Here is a 27879-nt window from a genome sequence, read left to right as displayed (position 1 = left end):
CTCTTGGGTTTTCTACATAAAATAACCATCTACAAATAATAGCTATCATTTGTTCTAAGTTCAGACAACAACCCCATGAAGCAGTAATATTATTAACCCCATTTCACAGCTGAGGGATCTGAAACAAGAGATTTGTTCAGGGCCAATGAGCTAATAAGTAGCAGAATAAAATTCAAAACCAAATCCAAGCCTTCCAGCTTCAGAGTTCATGTCCTCACCAACAGACAATAATAGCTCTATATTGATTACATTAACTCCTTTTTTCTCTACTTTTATGTCTGTTTGAAGACTGAGTACCTTGGTAGAACTGCAAGAACAAGGTTGATTGATTGTGGTGACAGCAAATATTCTTGTCTTCTTAATTTTAACTGACAAATGTCTCTAATGTTTCATTTTTAGGTATAGCTTAACCAGAAAACCTCTGTAGCATGAGAATATTAATAATAATGTATATTTTCCTAAGAAAGAACCAAATCAATTTTTGGAAGAGGGACGGATTGTGAAACTTTATTGATAAAGAATTCCGTTCCAAAGGTGTATTCCAGTCACATTTACCCTACATAAAATACCAACATCTTCTTATTGCAAAAACAGAAACTCCGGCCGTTGTATTGATGCTGACTTAAGAGAAATAGAAGCCTCTATATAAGGCAAGAGTCCATACCAGAAGAATTCGACCAATATGAGATACCTCCAAAAAAATCAACTCAATAACCTACTTTATATGTAAGAGACCCAAAAAAGTCAGCTTTTGTGGGAAGTTGATATGCAGTTTATTGAACAAACAGAGTGTACAGTAACTAAACGAACTGTGTATTTCCAAAGGAATTAAGACCGCATATCTGGATTCACACCTAAAAGCACATAGAAAATTAAACCAAAGAAGGGCAAGTTTTGTACTAAAATCACTTGGGCCCAGGTTATTCTATAAGAAGATTCTCACTGGCATTTGATAGTAACTTATCACCTTCTGTGCGAGCTTGGGAACCAGCTGACTCAGTGAACTGCTTCCTGTCTTCAGTGCGTGATGACACAGATGTGTCAAGCTTAATAGATCTTATATGTAAATTTAAGAATAAGAAGTTTTATACCCACCCTGGTTTTATTCCAAAGTTACTGCTCTGCAATTTTGGGCTCCATCCTTAGGAAGATACTGGAAAAGCAAGAGAACCTTTCTCAGCTGCCTGTGTGAAGTGACGTTGTTCTAGAACGGTGCCCTGGGGCCTCATGCACGATTTCACAAGTATAGCTGCATAATCTGTGGATGTCACTGAATGGAAGAAGAATCATCAATGGTATATTTAGGTTATAGAAGGTTCCACTGAGATAAGAAAAGGTTCTACAATGCAGGTAGCTGTCAAGCCTCCTAAATATTTAACTCGTTTTAGTTAACATCACACTGTGCATTGAGTGCAAGATTCTTTGGTTACACCATATTAACCACCAGGAGGATAACTCCTGGTTTGTAAAAGACATCAGTGGTTCTTAACGGAGGGGTGATATGGCCCCAGGAGACATCTGACTATGTCTGGAGAGAATTTTTCACAGCTCTAGCGGGGGTGCTACTGGCACCTAATGGATATGGATGGCAGGAATGCTGCTGAACATTCTACCATGCACAGGGTGGCCCCACAACAAACACCTCTCAGGCCACTAATATGAATAGTCCCGAGGTTGAAATGTCCTGAAAAAGGTTCAGAAAACATGTCTAGACGTTTGCAAAGTCAAATGTATATTATGGAGGCTGCAAGGCGCCCCTTGCATCTCACAGCTGAGGGACCCCGTCACCTCTCACCATCAGAGGCCCATTCATTCCCGCCTTCCATTCCAGGCCCAGTGCCTGCTCCTTCTCACTGAAGAACTCAATAGAGATTTGCTGAATGAATGAGGGAAAAATAAGCTAGAAGCATAGTTTAAAGTCTTCCATCGACTACATTAAACAGCAATTTTATGTGGCCTAAACTTTATTCTGAACCTTAGTGGTGTCATAGTCTCTGACTATATAGAACCTCAAAGTTAAGGCTAACACGTTCTTAAAGATGGAGTGCACATCTTAAGGGGAGTTTGTCTAAACACTTCTCGAGTCATTTTAGTGGGACAAACCAAATAAAATGGTGCTAAAGGCAAACATTCAATATACTTCATTTTAAACTAAAAAATTAACATATAAAATGCCATGCACAGCAGACACCATTCTTTTTTTTACATATTTACAATTTTACATATTTACTTATCAATATAATTTCTATCTTTACAATTATAAAATTATTCCAAACTGTGGAAGAGTGGTACCATTTAATTTTCTTGAACATACACTTTGTAGCATTCATTTGTTTAATCCTTTAAAAGGCAATTATTTACCAAAACCACAGTGAATGCCAGAGGAAGCACATAGGAAAATCATGGAGGGAAAAAAGATTGAGACAAAATTTGCACACAAGCCTTAAATGAATCTGTATCAGTAACTCAAATAAGTAGTATTTTATTATTAACTAAGGTTCCCCTGCTAGGAAAAACGAAACAATCCCCATATACTGTACCTTTAAAAAATGCTGACATTTATAAGCAATTTAGTTACATTCTAGATCCCAATCAGTTGAGTGTAGTAAGGGCTACCTACAATTTAGGCTCAAATAAATACTCTCCACTAAATTGTGATCATCCTGCATAAACTTGAGGTTGCAGTGGTGGAGGAAGTTTATCATTTTCAACGTTTTCAGAGTCAATAGCTGCTAACGGTTGATTCGGAGGCTTAATTTCCAGTGGGTATTTCTCAACGATGTCTTGAACTTCTCTTGCAATTCCATCTGTCCAATCTATGAGGTCTTTTTCCAGTTTCTTGGCTTCATTCATGATCCTTTCTTGTCGTTCATTCAACTGAGACAAGAGATCCAAGTTCTTATACATTTGCTTGACGCCTAAGCAAGCATCAGGAGACCAACTCTCAGCTTCTTGCTTCCTGGGAGAGGTCTGGCCAGACATGTAGCGATCAAAATCCTCCTGACTTAGATTCAAAGACTGGGCGTCTAGCTTCTCAATGAAAGCCACAGCACAGCACTACAAGAAGAGGACGTTAATACAGTCATATTAGGAAAGCTATGCATACTCGAGTCGATTTGTAAAAATCTTTTGATCACAGACCATTTAAAACAGAAGCTAAAGTAAACAAAACAAACTCATGAACTTCTGTGTATTTCAGCCTCAAAAATTACCTACTCCTATCCCCGGTCGTGCTTCCTATACACTCCCAGGAGCTCCAGGGCCGATGTCTGGGTGCAGCCTCCCCAGGTGCACCATGAAGCCATTCTGTCTGAGTCTTCCCAGACCTGCTATCCCCACCCAGGATATAGTCCCCAAGTAGGTGTGGCACACAGACCTCTGATCCTCAAATGAATATTTTAACATCAAGTGGTTAAAAGAACAGCTCCAGACCGGGCCCGGTGCCTCAAGCCTGTAATCCCAGCACTTTGGGAGGCTGGGACGTGTGGATCATGAGGTCAGGAGTTTGAGACCAGCCTGGCCAACATGGTGAAACCCCATCTCTACTAAAAATACAAAAATTAGCTGGGCGCAGTTGTGGGCGCCTGTAATCCCCGCTACCTGGGAGACTGAGGCAGGAGAATTGCTTGAACCTGGGAGGCGGAGGTTGCAGTGAGCCAAGATCACGCCACTGCACTCCAGCCTGGGTGACAGAGCAAGACTGTCTCAGGAAAAAAAAAAAAAAGGAACAACTCTGAAGTGACTGAACCTGAGTTCACTGTCACCTCTTTCACTTAACAACAACAGTGAGTGACCGTGGGAAAGTTACTTAAGCTCTCTGAGGTTTCTGTACCTGTAAATGGGGGGAAATACCACCTAGATTTATTGTGAGAATTAAACAACATAACATGTCACGTGCTTCCGAGAGGCCTGCAGCGAGCAATGAATACACGGTAGCAATTATTAGTACAGACATGGCACTGCAAATGCCCAATTCAACAGACATCTGAGCCAGGCGTGTTGGCTCGTGCTTGTAATCCTAGCACTTTGGGAGGCCGAGGTGGGAGGATTGCTTGAGACCAGGAGTTCAGACCAGCCTGGGAAACAGTCGGGGTAGAAACCATCTCTAGAAAAAAGGAATAAAGAAAAAGAAAAATCTGATTCATCTGAGTAGAACGGAACACCATCTGGCTCATGGTGTGTGTGGAGTTGCTGTGGCCCCTCTGTGACCTGGAAAGAGGAGGTGATTCTAACTCCTCACTTAGGTGAATGGAGACATGGCATTGCCACTAAAAGGAATAGAGAATACTGGAAAAGAAACAAACATCTGAAGGGGAAGTAGCTCTGAACAAATTATATTTGAGGTGCAATACAAGTGTAAGGTCAAGACAGGTGACCCAGAGCTGCAGGCCATCACTGCACAGTGAGTGACAGCTCTGTGACAGAGAAGATGGTGCAGGAAGAGAGATGCAGAGACAATGGAGTCCCATGGAATGACACAATTCAAGGTGGAAGTAGAAGACACAGACTTTACAAAGAGACAAGGAAGTAGTGGAATTGTGGAAGCCAAGGAACAACAGAAGTTGCAGAACAAAGGACTCTTGGAGAGTGCTATGAGAAGCGAAGGAAGATGAAGACTGTGAGTGCCCGTGGGGTTCGTCAGCTGGAAACTTTTTACTTTTGCCAGAGCAGTTTCATTGGAGCAATGGGTGTAGGAGACAGACTCTGAGTCAGGCAAGAAGAGGACAAAGAGAGAAGGCACAAATGTACTTAAGGCTGCAGGCCAAGGGCACTAGAAGCTGCTAAGTGTGTGCAAGCCAGCCACCTCTACTGTCAGTGACCGTGGCTACGCTCAAACACGTCCTGGTCCTCCTCCACTTCTCTCAATACCTGCCATGTCTCCACCTTCACACTTCTCAGGGACTTCCAGGTTGTCTGACTCGCTTTGGATAAAGAACTGAATCCAAAACGCTCTTCCCTCGTAGGCAAGTGTATGTTTCATTTATATTAAGAAATATGAGGCCAGGTGCGGTGGCTCATGCCTGTAATCCCAACACTGTGGGAAACTGAGGTGGGTGGATTGCTTGAGGTCAGGAGTTCGAGACCAGCCTGGCCAACAAGGTGAAACCCCGTCTTTACTAAAAATACAAACATTAGCCGGGCATGGTGACACACATCTGTAATCCCAGCTACTTGGGAGGCTAAGGCATGAGAATCACTTGAACCCAGGAGACGGAGGTTGCAGTGAGCTGAGATCACACCACTGCATTCCAGCCTGGATGACAGAGGGAGACTCCATCTCAAAAAAAAAAAAAAAAAAAAAGGATATATGAGTACTTCTAATCTCATTCTATATGGGCCACTTAAACTTTTTTCAGTACTACAGATTAAACCACCATGTGCCTGGGAGGATGGAAAACAGTGTGAATAAAGGTAAAAGCATCATTCTGATCAAGAGCACCAAGTCCCTCCACCTATAAATCACACTCCCAAGATGCTGGTGACTACAGTAACATGTAGCTGAACACAATGCTGGAGGGTGATGAGTGATGGGGGCAGGTCCAAGTTTGGAGGAACCTGAAGCTTATACAATTTTGGGAACCTACTTACAGGAAAAGGAAGAAGAGTGACAAATACAAAAGTAGGTATAAATGTGAATACATACTTAGAACCTAGAAATAAATCATGACATATTTTTAGAGACTGAGAGATTCACGTACCTGTGAGACTTTTTTGGCAATTTATCAGAAATACTCGCAATGCATCCTGGCTTCCCCTCCCCACCTCTTAGTTCCCAGGCTCTCAACACAGAAAACCAAGTCCATACGCTGCCCCAAGTCTCCAAATTCATTAGCTTTACAGTACATTCCCTCTAAAGCAAATAAGCAGAGTTTAGTAGGAAGAAAAAGGAAGAATTCAGGTCAGGAGTGGTGGCTCATGCCTGCAGTTCCAACTCTTAGGGAGGTCAAGGTGGGAGGACTGCTTGAGTCCAGGAGTATGAGACCAGCCTGGGCAACACAGCGAGACCCCATCTCTCAAAAAAAAAAAAAAATTGGCCCGGTGTGATGGTGCATGCCTGTGGTACCAGCTTCACAGCAGGCTGAGGTGAGAGGATTGCTTGAGCCCAGGAGGTCAAGGCTGCAGTGAGCTATGATTGTACCACTGCACTCCAGCCTGGGTGATAGAGTGAGACCCTGTAGTAGAATGAATGAGTGAATGAATGAGGGGGCAAATATTCAGCCTTATTAACTTATACATAATTTGCCTTATTCATGGTTGAAAAAGCCCTGCCAAGTGAAGGACTCTTCTACCCAGGACCGTGGGGAGTGATGCCCAACACATGTCATCTGTTTCCGTAGGATAAACACAATCTCTGATCAAGTGCTGGGAGGCGGAGTGTCTGTATGGCCTGGTCCTTGTGCTCCCTGATGCAAAGTGAGCTTCCTCAGCCATGCTGCCTTCTCACACAGAAGCATTCACCTGTCACGGGCCTAAGTGACCTGTCACATCCCCAAAACCACCACCTTCCTAGTCCTTCTCCACAACACCAAGAACTCACTTACTCACCAGATTGGTGAAATAGTAGCCATCCTCTCCAGTCATCAGTCGGCTTGGATTGCAGAAGCGCGTGATATACTGGATATTAGACTGAAGGCGTGGGGGGTTGCCCTTCAAAACAATGTAGATGAGGGTGGGGAGGAAGTCATCCGCTGACGCCGGCTCATTCTTGGTGATCTTGATGGCATTGAAGATGTGCTTGCTGCACTTGGTGATGCAGGCCAGCTTGTCTCGAGGCACACGCTTGGAATCCATTTCAATGATATCTACAAAGCAGAAAAGACAATATTTCCCAGGAGAAAAGAATCACAAAAAAGAAGCAATAGGAAAATCATGTTTTATCTCTAAAGTTATGAAGGAATCCTTATTAACCCCTTTTCCAGCAGTTAACTTAGTATATAATAACTTAGTAAATATGATCTCATACTCATGGAAAACAGAACCAAGAGCCAGGTAATACACAGTGTACCCTACAAGCACATTTCTCTAATCCTCATATTATGCAATGGATACTCTTATTAATATTATCCATTTTAGGGATGAGGGGGCTGAAGTTCAGAGAGGTTAAATGATTTGCCCAAGATCATACAGACAGTATGTAGCAGGGTGGGAATTTGAAACCATGTCTACCTGACTGTAAAGCCCACACTTTTTTTTTTTTTTTTTTCAGACTGAGTTTCACTCTTTGTTGCCCAGGCTGGAGAGTGCAGTGGTGTGATCTCTGCTCACTGCAACCTCCGCCTCCTGGGTTCAAGCGATTCTCTTGCCTCAGCCTTTAAAGTAGCTGAGATTACAGATGCCCGCCACCACACCCAGCTACTTTTTGTATTTTTAGTAGAAACGGGGTTTCACCATGTTGGCCAGGCTGGTCTCGAACTCTTGACCTCAGGTGATCCGCCCACCTTGGCCTCCCAAAATGCTGGGATTACAGGCGTGAGCCACCGTGCCTGGCCAAGCCCACACTTCTAATCACAATGTAAGCTGCCTCTGAGCTCCATGGAGAAGGAAGAAGTTGTCTGATGAAGAGTCTTTTTACTGCTTCTGTGCCTCTGTTACATTTTAGAATGTTTTTCGACAGTCCCAATTTGCATACTGCTTTTTAGAAATGTGGCTACTACACAAAGCATCTTTGTATTGAATGTGAGAATACAAAAATTAGCCGAGTGTGGTAATGTGTGCCTATAGCCCCAACTACTGGAAAGGCTGAGGCAGAAGGATGGCTTGAGCCCAAGAGGTTGAGGCTGCAGTGAGCTACGATCATACCACAGCACTCCAGCCTGGGCAACAGAGCAAAATCTTGTTAAAAAAAAAAAAAAAAATCCAGCTACTGGAATCCGACACACTTAGTTCAACAGTGGCCAAACTCTCCAGCATGTGGATCTCCACTAGCTACAGAAATCACAACATTCACACCTGCTGATTGGCAGAGGGGATCAAGCAAGGGAATAAACTTAATCTCAAAATAACATTTTACTTCTCCCAGGGAAAAATTTCTTTCTTTCTTTTTTTTTTTTTTTGAGACAGCATCTCACTCTGTTGCCCCGGCTAGAGTACAGTGGCACGATCTCGGCTCACTGCAACCTCCGCCTCCCGGGTTCAAGCGATTCTCCTGCTTCAGCCTCCTGAGTAGCTGGGACTACAGGCACGCACCACCACGCCCGGCTAATTTTTGTATTTATAGTAGAGATGGGGTTTCACCATATTGGCCAGGCTGGTCTCGAACTCCTGACCTCGTGATCCGCCCACCTCAGCCTCCCAAAATGCTGGGATTACAGGTGTGACTCACTGCTCCCGGCAGAAAAATTTCACTACCCACAACTATCACTAAGTCCAAGCAGTGGGCTCTCATGAATGCCCACCCTTTTCCAACAAGCCTGGGGGACAGCGAAGGGTGCTGAAGCACGTGGTGACAGCACCGCTGGAGAGGCAGCGTACCTCTGGGGTTGCACATCGGCCAGCAACTTGGGACATCACAAAAGAAAAGAGCCAAGGCAGCTTAATTTTACACCAAATTCTTGCCACTAGCAGGAATAAACGTTTCAGACTCTGGCCAGGCGGTGGGGTATACCAAAGGGTTCTTTCAGCTTTTAGATCATCCCTGAGGTCAGCTTCCTGGGGAACCCTCCTAGGCCCATCTGCCATGAAAGACAACGTGTGGGGGACAGATGTGCTAGGCAGTGCACAGGCATTATTTTAACTTTTGAGTGCTTTTATTCCCTTACTTATGAGGCTACTGTGTGAATTACATAATTTTTGCTGTTTTATTGTTTGCTTCCTTTAATCCTTTAATCCTGGGTTATAATTATTGTTACATTGATCTATTTATTTTTCTTTTTCTACTTATATGGAACTTATTCTAAATAAGAATTGGGTAAGATTGGGTAAGATTTTTTAAAGCCATTTTTACTACCTTCATTTATCTTTAGCCTTCTACCTTTTATTGGTGATTTTTTTTTCTCTCTTTTATTTAAACTACTTTCTTGTTAATCTTTATTTTTCAATGTTCTTTCATCTTGCATCCTGTTCATCTTTACTGTTGACATTTTGAAAGCGAGTAAAAAGTGAATTATGTTTTATCTGGATGTGTGGCTGCTATTGCCATAAGGCAGGGCTGGGGTGGAAAAAGGGAGAGAAGGGAAGGAAAAGGAGAATAAAGAAAGACAAACACCCCCAGGGATCTCTTCCACATGCTTCATCCTGCAGAGACCCGTTCCTAGCATCCTCTGGCCTGAAGGAATTCTTCGTGGAACTCTTTGGATTTTCCCATGTGTGCAATTCCATGATTTGCACTGCTTCAAAGTCTCAACTAGGAGACATGTGAGGAGAAAGCAACACACAGGAAACTCACTGCTGTCTAATAATTTCCCTCCCCAGCCTGCCTGCTATGATTTACTCTTCAGAGCCCTGCATAATTGCTCTATGTCTTCTCCCAGGGCTCTGCCTTCACATGAATAGGAAACACAGAGCTAAGTATACGCTCCATCTCTGCTGGATCCAGGTGTCCAGGCTTATCTTTAATGGAGTTGTGAAAACAAAGGCTGTACCTCCAGGTCATGGCTTCTCAACATGGACACTCCTGACATTTGGGGTTGAATAATTCTTTGTTGTAGGGAACCATCCTGTTCATCACAGAATGTTTAGTAGAATCCTTGGCCTCTACCCACTAGGTGTTAGTAGTACTCCCACAGCTGTGACATTTAAAAATGTCTCCAGGCCTGGCTCAGTGGCTCACACCTGTAATCCTAGTAACTTAGGGAGGTGAGTCTAGGAGTTCAAGAGCAGCCAAGGCAACATGATGAAACTCTGTCTCTACAGAATGTAAACAAAAATTAGCTGGGTGTGGTGGCACGTGCCTGTGGTCTCAGCTACTCAGGAGGCTGAGGCGGACGGATCGCTTGAGCCTGTGAGGTCAAGGCTGCAGTGAGCCATGATCGTTGCCACTTGCACTCCAGCCTGGGTGACAGAGAGATCCTGTCTCAAAAATAACTAACTAACTAACTAACTAAATAAATAAGTCTCCAGATGTTGTCCAATGTCTCCGGGGGACCACTGGTGCCTGGCTAAGAACCACTGCCCCCATAGCCACACAGAAGTCATGCAGGTGGAGCCAAATGGGAAAGGGTGTCTGTCAACAGATGAATGGATAAAGAAAACATGGCACACATACACAGTGGAGTACTATTCAGAATGGGATCCAGTCATTTGCAACAACATGGATGAAACAGGAGGATATTATGTTAAGTGAAATAAGCCAGGCACAGAAAGATAACCATCACATGTTCTCACTCATTGGTGGGAGCTAAACACTTAAAACTGAAGGATGTTTTACCAGAAGGATGGTTACCAGAGGCTGGGAAGGGTAATGCAGGGCATGGGGGATAGTGGGGATGGCCAAGGGGTACCAGAAAAGTTAGAAAGAATGAATAAGACCTAGTATTTGCTAGCACGACAGGGGAACTATAGTCAAAAGTAATTTAATTGTACATTAAAAAGTAATTAAGAGAATATAACAGGATTCTCTGTAATACAAAAGCTAAATGCTTCAGAGGATGGACCCCATTTCCCCTAAGGTAATTACCACTCATTATCCGCCTGGATCAAAATAGCTCACGGAACTCATAAATAAATACACCTATTATGTACACATAAAAATTAAAAATTAAACAAAACAGAAAGAAAGGGAAACTTCCACCATCAGCCACAGGCCCTGACACTCTCCTTGTCCTAAACTCTTGGAGCTAAGAGGAGCTGATGATGGACTCTCTGATCCCCTTCCTGGGGTGGCACACTCTTCCTTTCAGAAGTCCTAAAGAGTGTTCGACCTCAGGGCAGAGGACTTGATGACTTTCAAAATTTTATGCAGTTCTCTTCAACAGACCTCGTATTTGTTACTTGTCAGCCCAGAACATGAGCCTCCTGCCCTAGAAGAACGTGACCCACACTGTGTAACTTAACGGGCAGCCTCTCCTATCGAGTCCCACTATTCATGGAACACAGCTATGCTTTCCTGATCCCTTGGGCCACCCACCTCTACTTTCACCACTGATGGGTCACACAAACACTCGCTACCAGCTGTCGCCCAGTGAACCATGCCCTACTTGGGTGAAAGAGGCCAGGAAGGCTGGGGACTTCCCTATTAGCAACAGGCCGTAAAGGCTACGGTGGCTTGGACAAAACTCTCATAGAACACTCTAAATGTAAACCAGCTGATCTTGAACTTTCTAGTAAGAGTCAGGAAAAACACAAGTCCCAGGTCCATATTCAGGCTTTTAGAAGGCCTCCACCTTCAACCTCTTATGGGGTTCCCCGAGCAAAAGGTGCGGGGGGCAGAGTAGTCATGACCTACGCCATAGCCTAGCAGAAAAGCTTGCAAGAAAAAAAAACAATAGTATTGATCTGGGCCACTTGGATTCTACCTTCAGAACTTGCACAAGAAATTACAGAAACTAGTAATTTACTTAACAACAGGAGTTGACACGGGAAGATAAAGAGAAGCAGAACCCGAGAAAGTGGAAGAATCACATCAGCAGAGAATGCCTGGAGCAGACCCTCTTGCCGTTGTAGAGGCAGTAAGATAGCCCACTCCCTGGATGACCCTTGGGGCTAGGGTCCTGAAAGACTCCACCTCCTTTATAACCCTGATAATACCTTAAGCAAACCTCCATTTCTTCTGTAGCTTGGGTGAGTCTCTGGTTCCTGTAACAAAAGGAGCCTACTCGATGGCCAGCCTCCAACACTACTAATATCAGTTAACCCACTTCCTTTCCAATAGAATTTCATTAACAATGTCTACATGAACAAGCCTTTCCAAGGCCTCTTTCTAATAAAGGAGACACTGGCCAAAGATGACCATCTCTCCATTAAGATTTTTTTTTGTAATTTAAACGTTTGTGTTGCACTCTTGCTGGTTCATTCCCATGAATGAGAAACAAACCTTATTAGGAGGCTGGACCTGTCTAGAACGGCAGTGTCACATCAATTTGGGGAACTTCATTTATTTCCTGATCAAACCAGAAAAATAACTCATAGCGCTTCTCTAACAACCAGTCAGAGGCATCATTTTACTACGTTACTCCAGCGTGGGGATTACCTTGCCTTACCAGTTCCCTTCCTCTATCCAAAATTATTTTGAATATATAAATGCAACTGAATCCTAAGAAATTTATTCTATCATGGAACAGTCAGCTGAATAAAAACTAAATAAAAAAAGAAGTACAAAAAAAAGAAAAAAAATTTATTCTATCTGCATTTGACCTTAGTTTAGTTTAATGCCCAAGAAACGAGACCATAATCCCTGAAAATAAAGGGGTAAAAGAGAACCTGCTCTTCTGAATGCCATCAAATTCATAAAACAATCTTACAAATCACTTTTACTACATTCCAATGTACCTTCGACAATCTGCATTTTACAAATGTATAGATGAATATTACAGTAAAATGTTAACTTTAAGGGGAAAACATCCCAATAAAAAGGCTCTTGGTTTCACTGACCTGTGATCGCCTTCACCACCATATCAGACACTTCTGGGATGTCTTCATTAACAGGGACACACAGCATCTGAGGCGTAACCCAGCGCAGGGCTCTAAAGAGAGAGAGACAGTAAACAAGAGCTCCAAGGATAAACTGTGGCCATTTGTCTTGTCACCTCCTTCAGTTTAGGGAAAGCCTGAGGCATCACTGACCACTCAATCCCAGGCCCACACACATCACCCCTGCAAGTACTACGAGCTCTAATGACGTGATGAAGCAGCTAGGATCCTAAAATGAGACTTCTGCATTTATCACAAGAATGGAAGGCCATCTTGCTGACTGAAATGACATTACGCAGTGCTACCAAGACTGAAATGCACTCAGTATCTGAAAGTGACCATTTGAGAATTGGCTGCTGCCTGTCCTCGCTGCCTACTGCGTTAATGTCCTTTTACACTCAGTCCTCAACTTCTTTCTTTTTTGAGATGGAGTCTCACTCTTGCCCAGGCTGGAGTGCCAATCTTGGCTCACTGCAGCCTCTGCATCCTGGGTTCAAGCAATTCTCCTGCCTCAGGCTCCCAAGCAGCCGGGACTACAGGCGCCCACCTCCATGCCCAGCTAATTTCTGTACTTTTACGAGACAGGGTTTCACCCTGCTGGCCAGGCTGGTCTCAAACTCCTGACCTCAGGTGATCTGCCTGCCTTGGCCTCCCAAAGTGCTGGGATTACAGGTGCGAGCCACCACACCTGGCCTCAACCCTCAACTTCTGAGGCACACTGGAGCTTGTATAGGAGGCCACGGGCAGGACCACCATGCCTGAATCACTGTGTGTTTCCTGGTCCCACCCTAACTGCACTCCAACTACCCTGCAGCAGGCCTGCCCTCTTGCTTGGTTACTGCTTCTGTTCTGCATCTTGGTCCAGGGCCCCTCTAGTTACTTCTGGCTCCTGACCTTGGGCTCCACATCTTCAGCCTGCCCAGTATCAACTCCTCACTTCAGCTATGAAACTTCCAATACAGATCTAGCAAGTACCAGCCCCTTGTCTGGAACCTGGGACTCCGAGTCCCTTCTCCCCTTAAAACACCTCATCAGCTCAGCCTTGGCCCTGTTCCCACACTTGGGTGGTCTCTTCCTCAGTGTCCACCGCAACTGGAGTACACAGTGCTGGGGCTCACCCCAGTGAGCCTGGAAGACTGGGTGCTGTGGGAAATGTCATCAATCCAATGCCAGTGAAAGATGTGACTAGGGAATGCTGAAAAATGCACACCCCTGGGAGGAATGAGGAAAGAGGACATCTACTGACTTGTTATTTTTTTGAGAAGGAGTCTTGCTCTGTTGCCCAGGCTGGAGTGTGGTAGCATGATCTCAGCTCACTGCAACCTCTGCCACCTGGATTCAAGCCATTCTCGTGCCTTAGCCTCCCAAGTAGCTGGGATCACAGGCGTGCGCCACCATGCCTGGCTAATTTTTGTATTTTTAGTAGAGACGGGGTTTTACCACGTTGCCTGGGCTACTCTTGAACTCCTGGCCTCAAGTGATCCTCCCAAAGTGCTGGGATTACAGGTATGAGCCACCGGGCCCAGCCGACATCCCCTGCCTTGATACCGATATTCACAGCTTCCCACTTGAGGAGATGGTAATGGACCAAGAACACAGTCCCCCTATTCCTTGGAGATTTCAGGGATTGAAAACAATCTCAAACACCAAACACAACTCTTACCAAAAGCTGCCTTGAGGGAGATGGATAGGTGAGGTCACCACATTCCTCGTCTTTCTTACACAACAGAGCTGCTTCCACTCTAAGGAAGCAGGAACATGAGCTATTGCTTTCCCTTAAGGTTTGAAACACAGGTGCATTATTTTCCCCCCAGTGTGTTCTTCCATTAGAAGGTAGTAACTACAAAGCAAAACAAAATAAGCAACTACCTGATTCTCTTTTGAATGGCAAGATCTTTCTTCTCATCATCAGTAGTTTCTGGACAGAATACATATTTATAGAGACGAGTCATGATGTACTTTTCAATCTGATCCATTATCTTCTCGACTCTTTCTGGAGGCACTGAAATAACCAGACAGAGAAAAGATCAAGATATATATATTTTTTCTCTCTCTTTTTTTTTTTTTTTGCAAACAAAGAGTCTGGCTCTGTCGCCCAGGTTGGAGTGCAGCAGCATGACCTTGGCTCACTGAAACCTCCACCTCCTGGGCTCGAGCCATTCTCCTACCTCAGCCTCCCAAGTAGCTGGGATCACAGGCACACGCCACCATGCCTGAATAATTTTTGTAGGTTTTTTCTGTGGAGATGGGGTTTTACCATGTTGCCCAGGCTGGTCTCGAACTCCTGGGCTCAAGCAATCTACCTGCCTCAGCCTCCCAAAGTACTAGGTTTATAGGTGTGAGCCAGAATGCCCGGCCAAGAGTATATTTTCATAGCACTGTCTACACAGCAAAAAACTAATTTACTAGAAATAAATTAAACACACTCAGAACAAAAGTATAAGAATGTTATATTTAAAAATACGCTTAAAAAAAAAACTTACCAGCTGGGTGCGGTGGCTCTACTCCTGTATTCCCAGCACTTTGGGAGGCTGAGGCAGGTGGATCGCCTGAGGTCAGGAGTTCAAGACCAGCCTGGCCAACATGGTGAAATCTCCTCTCTAATAAAAATACAAAAATTAGCTGGGTGTGGTGGCACGCACCTGTAATCCCAGCCACTCGGGGGCTGAGACAGGAGAATCACTTGAACCTGGGAGGCAGAGTTGCAGTGAGCCGAGGTCACACCACTGTACTCCAGCTTGGACGACAGAGTGATATTCTGTCTCGACAAAAACAAACAAACAAACAAACAAAAAAATCTTCTTCCAACTGTTGGGCTGCCTTCCACAGCAACCTCAGTTCTAACTGAAGTTGTCTGACAGGACCTAACAGTGTACACCCTGCCAAATGGGGAGACTTCAGCAAGGTCACTCCCTGTCCTACATTACAAAGGCATTTGCAACTCCCAAGACTGATGAATGCTGATGAAACTTATCCTTTCATTTTTCTGAGGTTTACCATAACATCGTAGAGCTCTCTGAGGTATACAAATGGAGATTTCTCTGACACACACATGTGCTAAGTATATCCTAAAGTCTAGTATCAGTGAAGGTTGAATCCATAAAGAATCCCTAAAAACTTGAAGCTCTTTTTTTTTTAAACTATTAATACAATAACTCACCAAAATGGTGATTCCAAGATGGAAAATTCATTTAGCAAAGCCTTCCAATAAGTTTTTCTCTTTCTCTCTCTCTTTTTTGAAGACAGAGTCTCGATCTGTTGCCCAGGCTGGAGTGCAGTGGCACAGTCTCAGCTCACTGCAACCTCCGCCTTCCGGGTTCAAGCAATTCTTGTGCCTCGGCCTCCCGAGTAGCTGGGATAAGAGGTGCACCACAACACCCGGCTACTTTTTGTATTTTTAATAGAGGCGGGGTTTCACCATGTTGGCCAGGCTGGTCTCGAACTCCTGGCCTAACGTGATCCGCCTGCTTTAGCCTCCCAAAGTGCTGGGATTACAGGCATGAGCTACTGAGCCAGGCCCTAAGATGTTTTCGTCAGCTCCAGCCCTGCCCCAATGGAGTTATTAAATGTTACTCAATAAATTATCCAATTGCTCCTGGAAAGATACGCATGGTACAGTTCAAAGGCACTGCTAAGTATAAGACCAGTTCCCAGAATGTCCATGAGGTTACAGGATGAAGTCTACAAACCAGCCAGACCATCAGAGAAAGAAAGAAATTGCTAAGAGACTGAGCAGTCATCCCTGTGCAATACCCGCAATCTCTCAATGGCTAACAGTGTTACCTTTCCCACGAGTTTGCATCCTTTCGGCCACATTGTGGTAGAAATCCTGAGCACACTCTGACTGTTCTTCAATGCTTAGATCCTGAAACAGAGAGACAAAGAGGCTGCTTGTAGCTGAACAAAGTGCAGAAGCACAGCTCTACATTCTAAGAACTTTCCAAAAGCCATTCCTTGTACTGGTAGTAAGCCTAAAAGTACTCACAGGTTATATTAATCCTGCAGGAGAGTAAAACCTATCCATTAATATTATTTCCAATATCCATTGTTGCCGGACTTTTCCTTAGTTCAGCTAAAGACGGGATCCTTGTCCGTCTCACAGCCACAAAAATTTAGGCTCGCAGGCGGTTTGAATGGTGGGTAAGACAGGGTTTTATTAGGTGAAAAGGAAGAAAAGGGGGAATCCGAGACACTCACAAGGCCAGAGTCCCTGCTAGAGTGCTTCCTGCCAGCAGCTAGAATCCTGGGCTCCACACAGAAAGAAGAGGGGCCAGGCTCCTCCCTGCTACAAATGGTGCAAACTTCCCAAAACTCCACCCCGGTGGGCAGGCTGGCTGGAGTTTTTCCGGGGACCCCTTCCCACCTAGCGGTCTCACCATGACCATCTCATTCTTTTTGCTAAATCTACGTATTCTTAAATAGATTTAATGCATGTTTTGATAATTTACATATTTTATGTACATTTCTATTTATCTAATCCACTGAATCATTTCTGGTGGCTTTATAACACTGCATTATATTAACTGACTTCTTCGACTCTCCTCTACCACTGTGCATTTGAGTTGCTCCCCCTCTTTCACTGTTGTGCACTGTAGGTATAAATAATTTTGTAAGGACTATCTTCTTTTCGGTTCTCTGTCATACATTTCCAAAAGTGGCATTAACCGCTTAATATGAATAAACAATGTTATAGCACTAAGTATCTATTGCTAGCCACACTCCTCAGAAACTCAGTGCACACTGTCATTAACCACGTGTATGCACTTACTTCCCTATGGCCCTTACAACATTGGGCTTGATAATTTTTATTTGGTTTTACTGATTTTATAGGTGTAATATATGTATTTGTTTCTCACTTTCTGCCAAAGAATATTTAAAGGCTATTTAAAAGATAAATGCAGTTCAGCACAAGAGACTAGAAAATAAAAAGAATAACAAATAACTGTAATCCCAGTGCTCTGGGAGGTTGAGGCTAGAGGATCGATTGAGCCTAGGAGTTTGAGGCCAGCCTGGGCAACATAGTGAGACCCCATCTCAAGAAAGAAAAGAAAAGAGAAGAGGAAAGAAAGAAAGGGGAGAGAAAGGAGAGAAAGGAAAGAAAGAGAAAGAAAGAAATTAAAAAATTTTTTTAACAATAATAAGTAAAAAAAAAAAAAAAAAAAAAAAAATTAAACATGGAGAGAGACCTAAAGCAGAGCCACAGATGACAAGACAGAAATGTTTTCCTGGAAGATGTCTAAATTAGTCAAGAGTCAGCCCATACATCTGTCTCTAACTAAATTTTTTAGCAACCATCACTAGGATGAAAACAGTTATGTAATTCAGGGTTCAAAAGATGAAAGCAAACAAATTATTCGGGTGAAATTCTGACACCAAAATCAAAAATTTCTCCCAACGGTTCTCATAAGGATGTCACAGTAGAAGAACATGAATAAGGCCGAGAACAAACCCCCAGGACGGGCTGTCACAGACTTCATCTACACAGGCCACTGACCTCACACGCCAAGGGCCGATACATCCTGTGGAAGCCCACAGCAGTCTGACCATCTGGCTTAACTCTAAAAGGATGGCAGGACACTTGGGGTCAGGAGCAGTCACCTCATTCCCTCAGTAAAAATGGCCAAGCACTCATGGCACTTTGTGATCACCTTGACTGCAGCCCTTGTTACTGTCAACTAGTTACCCATATACATGCACACACTGCAGTGCTCAAATCTATCCTTCTACTTCAAGTATTTTATGCAAAAGCTTATCCATTCAATCTTTTTAGGTAGTTTACACATGGTTTTACACCTTTCATTTGCACCAAATTTTAGCACTTAACTTAGAAGAAACTATATTCATTCTTGTGATTATTACTACAGATTTGAGCATTCCTAACCCAAAAATAAAAAATCTGAAATGCTCAAAAATCCCAAATTTGTCAGTGTCGACATGACACCACAAGTGGGAAATTCCACACCTGGCCTCATGTGATGATGGGCTAGAGTCAAAAAGCAGCCAAAACTGTTACATGCACAAAACTGCTTAAAATGTGGTATAAAATTACCTTCAGGCTATGTATGTAAGGCATATATTCAACAAATGAATTCTGTGTTTGGACTTGGGTCCCAGTCCCAAGTTATCTTATATATGTGTAAATATTCCAAAATCTGGGAAAACCCCAAAATCTGAAACACTTCTGGTCCCAAGGCTCTCGGATAAGGGATACTCAACCTGTAGTGCTCGCTTCCAACTAGAAACTCTCTGAGCTCCTTTTAGAGACCCGAGAGGCCTGTCTTACTGGTGTCAAGGGATCATATTCTCCTCCCCCAGCCCAGCACAACCCCTGTAATTTTACAATACAATGCCGAAAACTCCTTTTCTATTTCTACTGCAGTTTATGCTCCAGTACAGTATTGCTTTCATAATGTAAAAGAACTCACCCCTGCCACTGTCTCTCATCCTGCTTTCCATTCTTGTAGGACTTAACACTATGTTACAGATCTGCTTATTGTCCATTTCCCCAACTAAAATGTTAGCTCCACAAGGGCACTGTTCACCACCATATCCTCATGCCTAGAACAAGGCCAGGCACAGGGTTAGTGCTCAGTATGGGTTGAATGAATAAATGTGGCCATTTATTACCATTCCTCCCTTTATAAGATGCTGAAGACAATTCTCCATAGATCTCTTTCTACCTATCTGTGAGCAAAGGCAATGACTGCCTTTGTTTTGCAACATCTTTTCAAGGATTTCTTTATAGAAAACAGCTTTAGGAGACAGAGATAGTGCCTCCTTCAAGAGAAAAGGGTAGACTGCTTACTGTCTAATAAGGATCCCTAAATCCAAGGTTCCTCTCCTCTAATACAACTCACTGCATGCACAGGCTTTCCCTGGTCTTCTCTGCATTATCCTATAGGAACAGATACTCGGGGATAAGCACAAATGCAAATGCTCTGGCTACTGCTACTGCTGTAAGAAACTGGCCTTTGTCTCTGACCCAGGAGACTCGTGTCTTTGGCCAGTATCTGTGAAACCATGGCAGGTTAATTTGTTAGCCTGCAAATAAGGTAACTCTCAGGCCCCTCACAGTGTTTGCCAAAGGGGCAAAGTGAGGGCAGGTTTGTGTTGGTAAGTTCTTTTAGGCTCTACAAAACTCCAAAAGGTTTGTCATAATTTTCCAAGAAAAAAAGATAGTAGAGCAGTGAGTAAATCCTTTACCTCAAGTACTCTCTAATCATTGTACGGGATCATCTTTTCTATAATCTTTTTTTTTTTTTTTTGAGATGGAGTCTCGCTCTGTCGCCAGGCTGCAGTGCAGTGGCGTGATCTCAGTTCACTGCAACCTACGCCTCCCAGGTTCAAGCAATTCTCCTGCCTCAGCCTCCCGAGTAGCTGGGACTACAGGCATGTGCCACCACGCCCAGCTAATTTTTTTATTTCTAGTAGAGACAGGGTTTCACCATCTTGGCCAGGCTGGTCTTGACCTCCTGACCTCGTGATCCATCCTCCTCGGCCTCCTAAAGAGCTGGGATTACAGGCGTGAGCCACCGCACCTGGCATCTTTTCTATAACATCTGAGTAAAGTTGTCGTTTTATTTTTCTAAAATAAATTTTTACTCTGTGATTAAGACATTGACAAGTGGATGTCTATCTTTGAACATTATGCTGAGAGGCACTCTATACACTTTCTTAACAGTCTGGCTGAGATCTTTGTTTCCACTTCCAGTTTTGAAAACCTTTGACTATTTTCCTTGCCTATGTTTTCTGTGTATTTCATCCAGAACTTCCATCATTTCAATGTGAATTGCCACATTCTATTTTATGGGTTCATTAAGTTTTGTCTGTACTGCTGTTAACTGCTTAATCTATTTAGGTATTAGCTTTCATGTCCATATTTTTTTGTATTACCAATTTGTGCTGCCTTCAATAATTTTTTAAAGGAAAAGAACCATATGAGGGCTTTAATCCTCTTTAAAAATGAAACACACATTTAAAGTGTGCCAAGCATGCAGTCCTCATATTCTGAGAAAGTCCATCTCACCAGGGAGTATATCTTGAGGTCATTAGTAACTAGTAGAATACAGACTTAAACATTTCCACATTTAGATGAAGAAAACAGGGCAAAACTAACTGTGTCAAATTCAATTACTGGCAAAATAAAGGTGATGGGAACCGTTAAGATACATATGCTCATTTTGCATCTCCAAAAACAAACAAAAAAGCCAGAAATCCGTCATTTTTAGCAGCTAGACAGTGTCTAAGGAACGCATATGTTCTTCATAAAGGTCATCATGAAATTATTTTTAGCGTAAGAAATGTTTCAACCCTTGCTTTCCCTTTATTGAATGAAATGTGTAGTGGGCTAAGAAATCCAGTAACTCCCATGTTACAAGTTGCACAAGAGACACACAGTGCAGACAGAAGGGTCCAGATTGCCAAAAAGCAGAATTCCCAAAGACATTTTGTTCATTTAAAATACTTTGATGTCACTAGAGTCTGAGCAGATACAGCGTGATTCATGAACTCTAGAAGACCTGTAGTGTCCTATTGGCCTTTTTTACTAAGTAAGTGGAATTATTAAACATGCGGTACTAAAAATCAGAGAACACATTCCTGAATAGGAGTTCATTAATGCAACTGTGAGATCAGCTTACTTTTCTGTTTACCTACTGGTTACTTCTGCTTTCCAACAGCCTTAGGGAAAGTCAAAAGTATTTAGATGAAAAAACATCAACCAGCTTTTCATGAACTACGGCAAGTGATTTAAAGAAAAGAAAATCTTGTAAGAGGCAGCTAAGCTTCCTTCACCTCATCAACAAGGGCGGCGCTAAGGGGCTGCCCATGCTTGAACCTCACTTTTGTAACTAGAACCACTGGGCTCAGCTCTTTCCCCTAAACCAGCATGTGGAACAAGACCTCATGCTAGATCTTCCTGTAGTTCATAAGTGTGATGACTGGGTTTTCACGCTGGGTTTTCATGTGTGAGATATGCCTCCCTCAAACCTTGTTACAACACTGGCACATTGCCTGTCGCATGTGAAGAAAGACGAAAAAAAGACCTCATGCGCATAAGGGTGGAACTTGGCTCTGACAGGGTTCAGCTTGGCAGTGCTTGCTGAACACTTCCTGAATCTGGACTCCACTCATTGTTGAGAGTTTCACAGAGGTTCTTCAGGTGAGGGTTATTGTCTTTAATTTCTTCTTCTGGAACACACTGTGTTGCCTTCTCCAAAACATCTGCAACCTCTAACGAGTCCTTGCAGAAGCCCTGAATGCTATACATATTTGCCTCCTCCACCAATTTTTGGCTGATCTGCTGCAAGTCCTCAGTATCTGCCAATGCTTGCTTATCTTCTTCTACAGCCTCCTTCAGCTGCTCTTCTAACTTGACTTCTTCCATGAGTATCTTGTCCGTAGAGGGAGTATCTGTCCTCCATTTGGTTTGGATCCACATCCTCTTCCAAGTGCTGGCAACTGTTCTTTTGTTTTGTAGCTGTGTGCAGAACTGAGAAGGCTGGGAGACAATGCCAACACCAGGAGACTGCATGGCACCAGCCTCACGCATGGAGCCACCACGGCTGCCCCAGGATGATGATTTAAGTTTCCCCTCGCCTATCACTATGTGCTTCTATGAAACATTTTTAATTATTTTTACTCACTCAACATAATTATCAAATACATCTTTTTTTTTTTTTTTTTTTTTTTTTTGAGATAGAGTCTCGCTCCGATGCTGAGGCTGGAGTGCAGTGGCGTGATCTAGGCTCACTGCAAGCTCCGCCTCCCGGGTTCACGCCATTCTCCTGCCTCAACCTCCCAAGCAGCTGGGACTACAGGTGCTCGCCACCACACCTGGCTAATTTTTTGTATTTTTTAGTAGAGACGGGGTTTCACCGTGTTAGCCAGGATGGTCTCGATCTCCTGACCTTGTGATCCGCCCATCTCAGCCTCCCAAAGTGCTGGGATTACAGGCGTAAGCCACCGCACCCGGCCTCAAATACATCTTTTATCTACTTTTTTTCCTTATGACTTATAGATGCTGAGAGCTCAGAGCTATTTCCACTGCCTCACTTCTCATCCTCAGTGCTTCCAGTTTTAAAATTAGGTCCTGGGTTGCTACCCCTGCTGAAGTTCTCACAATAATTAAAGCCTATTTGCTAGTTAAAGGTTCTTTGTTTTGGGTACATACTTCTGTTCTTCTGACAGTAAATTACGTGGCAGGGCAAACTACTCCTTGATTAAATATATAGTTTACAACAATAGAGTCATTTTAAGGTATAGGAGGACACTTATCTTTCTACTTGTTCTGGGAAAGAACATGGGACTGAAGATATAACCATGTCTTAAACTGTGTATTTTTTTGTCCTCATTCAGGTACAAAGCTTTAAGTCCATATAATATAATCAGTATCAGATTATTATTATTATTTTTTTTTGAGACAGAGTTTTTTTGCTCTTGTTGCCCAGGCTGGAGTACAATGGCGCGACCTTGGCTAACTGCAACCTTGGCCTCCCAGGTTCAAGTGATTCTCCTGCCTCAGCCTCCCTAGTAGCTGGGATTACAGGCACCCGCCACCACGCCCAGCTAATTTTTTGTATTTTTAGTAGAGACGGGATTTCACTATGTTGGCCAGGTGATCCACCCGCATTGGCTTCCCAAAGTGCTAGGATTACAAGCGTGAGCCACTGTGCCCAGCTCAGTATCAGATTTTTATAGGACTGGCTAGAAAAATAACAATGAAACAAGCAAAAGGTGTTATGTTGTGCTTAACTGCTTCCTTAGAAAGAAGAGCTTATCAGAATGACTATTAAGAAGTCTTTTAGAAACTGAATTGATTGCCATGAATGGAGTATTAAGGGACTAATACAAATTAAAAAAATAAAAATAACTGAATTGAGAAACCCAAAAAATGAGGGGTGTTTTGTTTTGTTTTGTTTTTTGTTTTTTTTTGAGATGGAGTCTTGCTCTGTTGCCCAGGCTGGAGTGCAGTGGCATGATCTCAGCTCACTGCAACCCCACCTTTTGGGTTCAAGTGATTCTTCTCCCTCAGCCTCCCGAGTAGCTGGGACTACAGGCGAGCGCCACCATGCCCAGCTAATTTTTGTATTTTTAGTAGAGACAGGGTTTCACCATATTGGCCAGGCTGGTCTCGAAATCCTGACCTCGTGATCCACCCACCTCAGCCTCCCAAAGTGCTGGGATTACAGGTGTGAGCAACCTCGCCCAGCCCCAAGTTTATTAAAAAGCACTACTGCAATACCCAACAAATTAAAGGGTAGGTACTTTGAGGAAGTAGAGCCTGCCCCCTTTAAAAGCAGGACAAGCTACACTTTCAGAATAGGGAAAAAATGTATCTGAGGGATTTATTAACACTTAGCAAGGGCAGGATTTAAATAGTTTGAGCAGCAAAAGAGTTTTTCCAGAAGTTTTATTTACTTTTATTTAATTGCAGTCTAAACATGTGTCTTACAGTGAGCGTTTTCATATAAATAATTTACAGAAAAAAGTTATTTACAAAGCCACAGATCTCATTCAGTTAGGTAATATGGTTTTCTAGTTATTATGGGAAAGGTTAACACTTGATTGGGTCTATACAGTGCCTTAAAATTGCCCTCACCACATGAAGCTCTGTCCAGATGACAAAGAGAATGTATACCTCTTCATAAGTGACTATATATACTCCTGAATCCATAATCACTCTCAGACCTGTGTGAAGCTTGGTTAAGGTGAGATTCTTAAATTCAAGTTAGGCCAGGTATTGTGGCTCAATCCTGTAATCCCGGCACATTGGGAGGCCAAGGTGGGCGGATCATGTGAGGCTAGGAGTTCATGACCAGCCTGGCTAACAGAGTAACACCCCATCTCTACTAAACATACAAAAAATTAGCTCGGCATGGTGGTGCACACCTGTAATCTCAGCTATGCGGGAGGCTGGGGCATAAAAATTGCTTGAACCTGGGAGGCAGAGGTTGGGGTGAGCCGAAATCACGCCACTGCACTACAGCCTGGGCAACAGAGCAAGACTCTATCTTAAAAAAAAAAAAAAAAAAAAAAAAATCAGGCCAGGCATGGTGGCTCACTTCTGTAACCCCAAGATTTTGGGAGGCCAAGGCGGGCAGACCACTTGAGGTCAGGAGTTCAAGACTAGCTTGGCCAACATAGTGAAATCCTGTGTCTACAAAAAAAAAAAAAAGTAAAAATTATCTGGGCATGGTGGCACATGCATGTAATCCCAGCTACTCGAGAGGCTGAGGGAGGACGATCACTGGAACCTGGAAGGTAAAGGCTGCAATGAGCAGAGATCACACCACTGCACTCCAGCCTGGCCAACAGAGCAAGACTCCTATCTCAAAAAGAAATAATAATAATTCAAGTTATGTTGTACAGATTAGGTTTTAAAAATTAAGCTTTATTAATTTGGCTCAGCAATTTAAATTCTTGCTATGATGATTTGTAAGAACAGAAAAGTAGCTGATGGCAACTATATTTTCAACATAAAAGGATTTTGTGTTAATGACATAGCTGCCCGTCTCATTTGCAATGGAAATATCTTGTTTTAAAGAATGTATAGAAGTACTGTAAGAGTATACATGTTTTAACATTAAGTGGCTAGTAAGACTAGCAAGAAAGAAAAAAGAGCAAAATAAACAAGCTTCAGAAAAATATTAGCAAACAACATTTGCTGAATAGCACTGGGCGCGGTGGCTCACACCTATAATCCCAGCTCTTTGGGAGGCCAAGTTGGGAAGATCACCTGAGGTCAGGAATTCAAGACCAGCCTGGGCAACATAGGGAAACCCTGTCTCTACAAAAAATAAAAAACTCAGCCAGACATGGTGGTGTGTGCCACTAGTCCCAGCTACTCAGGAGACTAAGGCAGGAGGATCACTTGAGTCTGGGAGGTCAAGTCTGCAGTGAGCAGCAACTGCGCTATTGTGCTCCAGTCCAGGAGATAGAGCAACACACTGCTTCAAAAAAAGAAAGAAAAGGAAAGGAAAGGAAAGAAAGAGAAGTGTGTTGCATAGTAAAGCATTATACTGCCATACTGCAGTGGGTATGAAAATTACGTAGGTGCTGAAATTTAAATTCTAAAAACAAAAAACATCTTAGTGTAGACAAGGTGTTTCTTGATAAAGATAAAATGGCTTAAAAATTTTAATGCAGTTCGGAAAAGATTTAATTTTCTAGACTTGACCCATATGCTGAAAAGGCTGCTCACCACCGGCATATACAGGGCTTGGAGAAAACAGAAATGATGTGGGAAAGATGTGGGCAAGAGCAGATCACTCTCCTGGATCTCAGAAATTTTAGAAAGAATAATACTGTGGGATGCAGTAGGAACAATTATCCATTTATGGCAAGGCTGACTGGGCAGTTTTTAAACAGGTAAGAATGGATTTTCATATTGCATAGGCCCTTAGGATACCATCTAGAAAGTTTAGTTGGTGGTAATAACATTAATTTAAAGGTTTTGCGCAGTTTTGAAGAACTGAGTACAAAGACTTTTTTTTTTTCCCCCCCAGATGGAGTCTCGCTCTGTCATCCAGGCTGGAGTGCAGTGGTGCAATCTCCGCTCACTGCAAGCTCCGCCTCCCAGGTTCACGCCATTCTCCTGCCTCAGCCTCCCAAGTAGCTGGGACTACAGGCGCCTGCCACCACGCCCAGCTAATTTTTTGTATTTTTAGTAGAGACAAGGTTTCACCGTGATAGCCAGGATGGTCTCTATCTCCTGACCTTGTGATCCGCCTGCCTCGGCCTCCCAAAATGTTGGGATTACAGGCGTGAGCCACCGCACCCGGCCACAAAGGCTATTTTATACTACCACATTCTTCACAACTTCAGAGGAACTGCCCCAAGAAATTTATATGATTAGTGATCTGAAGCTAGTTATGTTAGTTCAGGTGTAAAGAGTGTTTATTTATTTATTTGAAAGGACATTAACTTGCAGACAAAGGCCAAAAGGGCTTCTCTAGGGACATTCAGTTTAAAAAACATCTCTTTCATATATGGTATGTGCAGACTTCACACTAAAGATACCTGAGATACATGCATAGGACTTGGCCACCTAACCATGAAACACATAGTGTAGAAATGGAAAATAGGTGGCTTAGTGGCTCTTAAAACAGGAGGAATCTGAGGCCATATGCAGGTCTCTGATATAAACTAGTGATGCCTTACAAATAGGCATTGTGATATTTGTACCAGTTAATTACCTCTTTACTTTAGTATACTCATTTAGAAGTCTACTAAATTATTACAGAGTAAGAACACATCACACTTCTGAGCAAAAGAAAAATACCAAATCTGAGTTGAGCAATTTTCTAAAACATATTATACAGCATACATGCTATATGTACTACAGTATACATACACTAACTTAATATAGCTATCCCGTGAACATTTCATGTGGGCTCAAGAAAAAAATAAATACAAAACCTCAGTTTTTAGTTCTGATAAAAATGAAAGATGGTGTCATATGAACTCTGAATTGTTCCATATTAAGGATATCTATCATGTTTCCTAACTTAAAAAAAAAACAATAACAGCTCACTTGTTTTGACTCTAAATGTTTTACTCTAGAGAGAAAAAATACCTAGAGAAAGACAGCTACTTACTTACACAGTCTAATTACATTTCTGAAGGGCGAGAAAGCAAGCTTTTCTCCTTTACAAACTGAATTCAATATCTAAAAATTATTTTGACACAAGTCCACTGCTTATTAGCCTAGTGATTGCTGACCCCAGCTAGAATATAGCTAAACAGTTAAACACCCTGCTGCTTTTCTAATTTCCTTTTTCTTTCTAAGACTTCCTTACTGCATAGAAGGAACTTTCAGAGCTAATTCTGAGTTTAATGGTTATAGAATGTTACAACAGAATTAATCCCTATTTACAAAATGAATTCCTTTACAGGCAGTCTTATTAATTATTGCCACTGAAATTATGGGTAAAAGAAACAGGTGTGGAAATCACAAGTTCTGGTTGACATTGGCAAAATCTAGCTGTGTAACCTTGGACAAGTCACTTATCCTCTTTGGCTCTCAACTTCCTCATCTATAAAATAAAGGGACTGAAACTCCATAGTTGCTAAAGTCCCTTTCATTGTCTAAATTCTATCTGTCCTTTCTCTAACTGAATGAAAAAATTCAAAATCAAAATACAAAAAACAAAACAGAATTCAACAACAACAACCCTTAAAATTACTGCCACTGGCCTAACAATGGTTGCACAGAGTTAAAGGTCTACTATCGCAGTTTATACTATTTACAAGGTCACAAGTCAAAAAGGCCTGTTACTAAAGCACATAATTCAAGTGGCTTCAGGTCAGAAT

General features: G+C 42.8%; 1 protein-coding gene and 3 pseudogenes across 41 annotated transcripts in view; 2 read left to right on the top strand and 2 right to left on the bottom strand.

Annotated features, from left to right (window-relative positions):
• GTF2IRD1P1 (GTF2I repeat domain containing 1 pseudogene 1) overlaps positions 1–1950 on the top strand; it is a 34894-nt pseudogene extending 32944 nt beyond the window's left edge. Inside the window, exon 11 of the transcript NR_003934.2 lies at positions 400–1950. The product of NR_003934.2 is annotated as a GTF2I repeat domain containing 1 pseudogene 1 (transcript). The remainder of the gene's footprint in view (positions 1–399) is intronic.
• The window catches only part of RABGEF1 (RAB guanine nucleotide exchange factor 1), a 156898-nt gene continuing 129497 nt past the window's right edge, over positions 479–27879 (bottom strand). For 30 of the 40 annotated variants that reach the window (NM_001367727.1, NM_001367725.1, NM_001367726.1 and 27 more), the window contains 5 exons: positions 16351–16432; positions 14437–14569; positions 12529–12620; positions 6547–6803; positions 479–3057 (listed from right to left, as the gene is read on the bottom strand). In NM_001367727.1, coding sequence (NP_001354656.1) covers positions 2659–3057; positions 6547–6803; positions 12529–12620; positions 14437–14569; positions 16351–16432 — 963 coding nt within the window. In that variant the 3' untranslated portion in view covers positions 479–2658. Of the gene's footprint in view, positions 4106–6542; positions 6804–11685; positions 11734–12528; positions 12621–14436; positions 14570–15050; positions 15168–15209; positions 15326–16350; positions 16433–27879 lie in introns of all 40 variants that reach the window. The other 10 variants (NM_001367753.1, NM_001367750.1, NM_001367749.1 and 7 more) reach the window with 6 other exon arrangements.
• LOC124901840 (uncharacterized) lies at positions 21479–21589 on the top strand (annotated as a pseudogene).
• On the bottom strand, positions 21600–22128 carry GRPEL1P2 (GRPEL1 pseudogene 2; annotated as a pseudogene).

This window comes from Homo sapiens, chromosome 7 (genome assembly GCF_000001405.40).
Source record: "Homo sapiens chromosome 7, GRCh38.p14 Primary Assembly".
NCBI classification, from domain to species: domain Eukaryota; kingdom Metazoa; phylum Chordata; class Mammalia; order Primates; family Hominidae; genus Homo; species Homo sapiens.
This window is presented reverse-complemented; position numbering and strand designations above follow the sequence as displayed.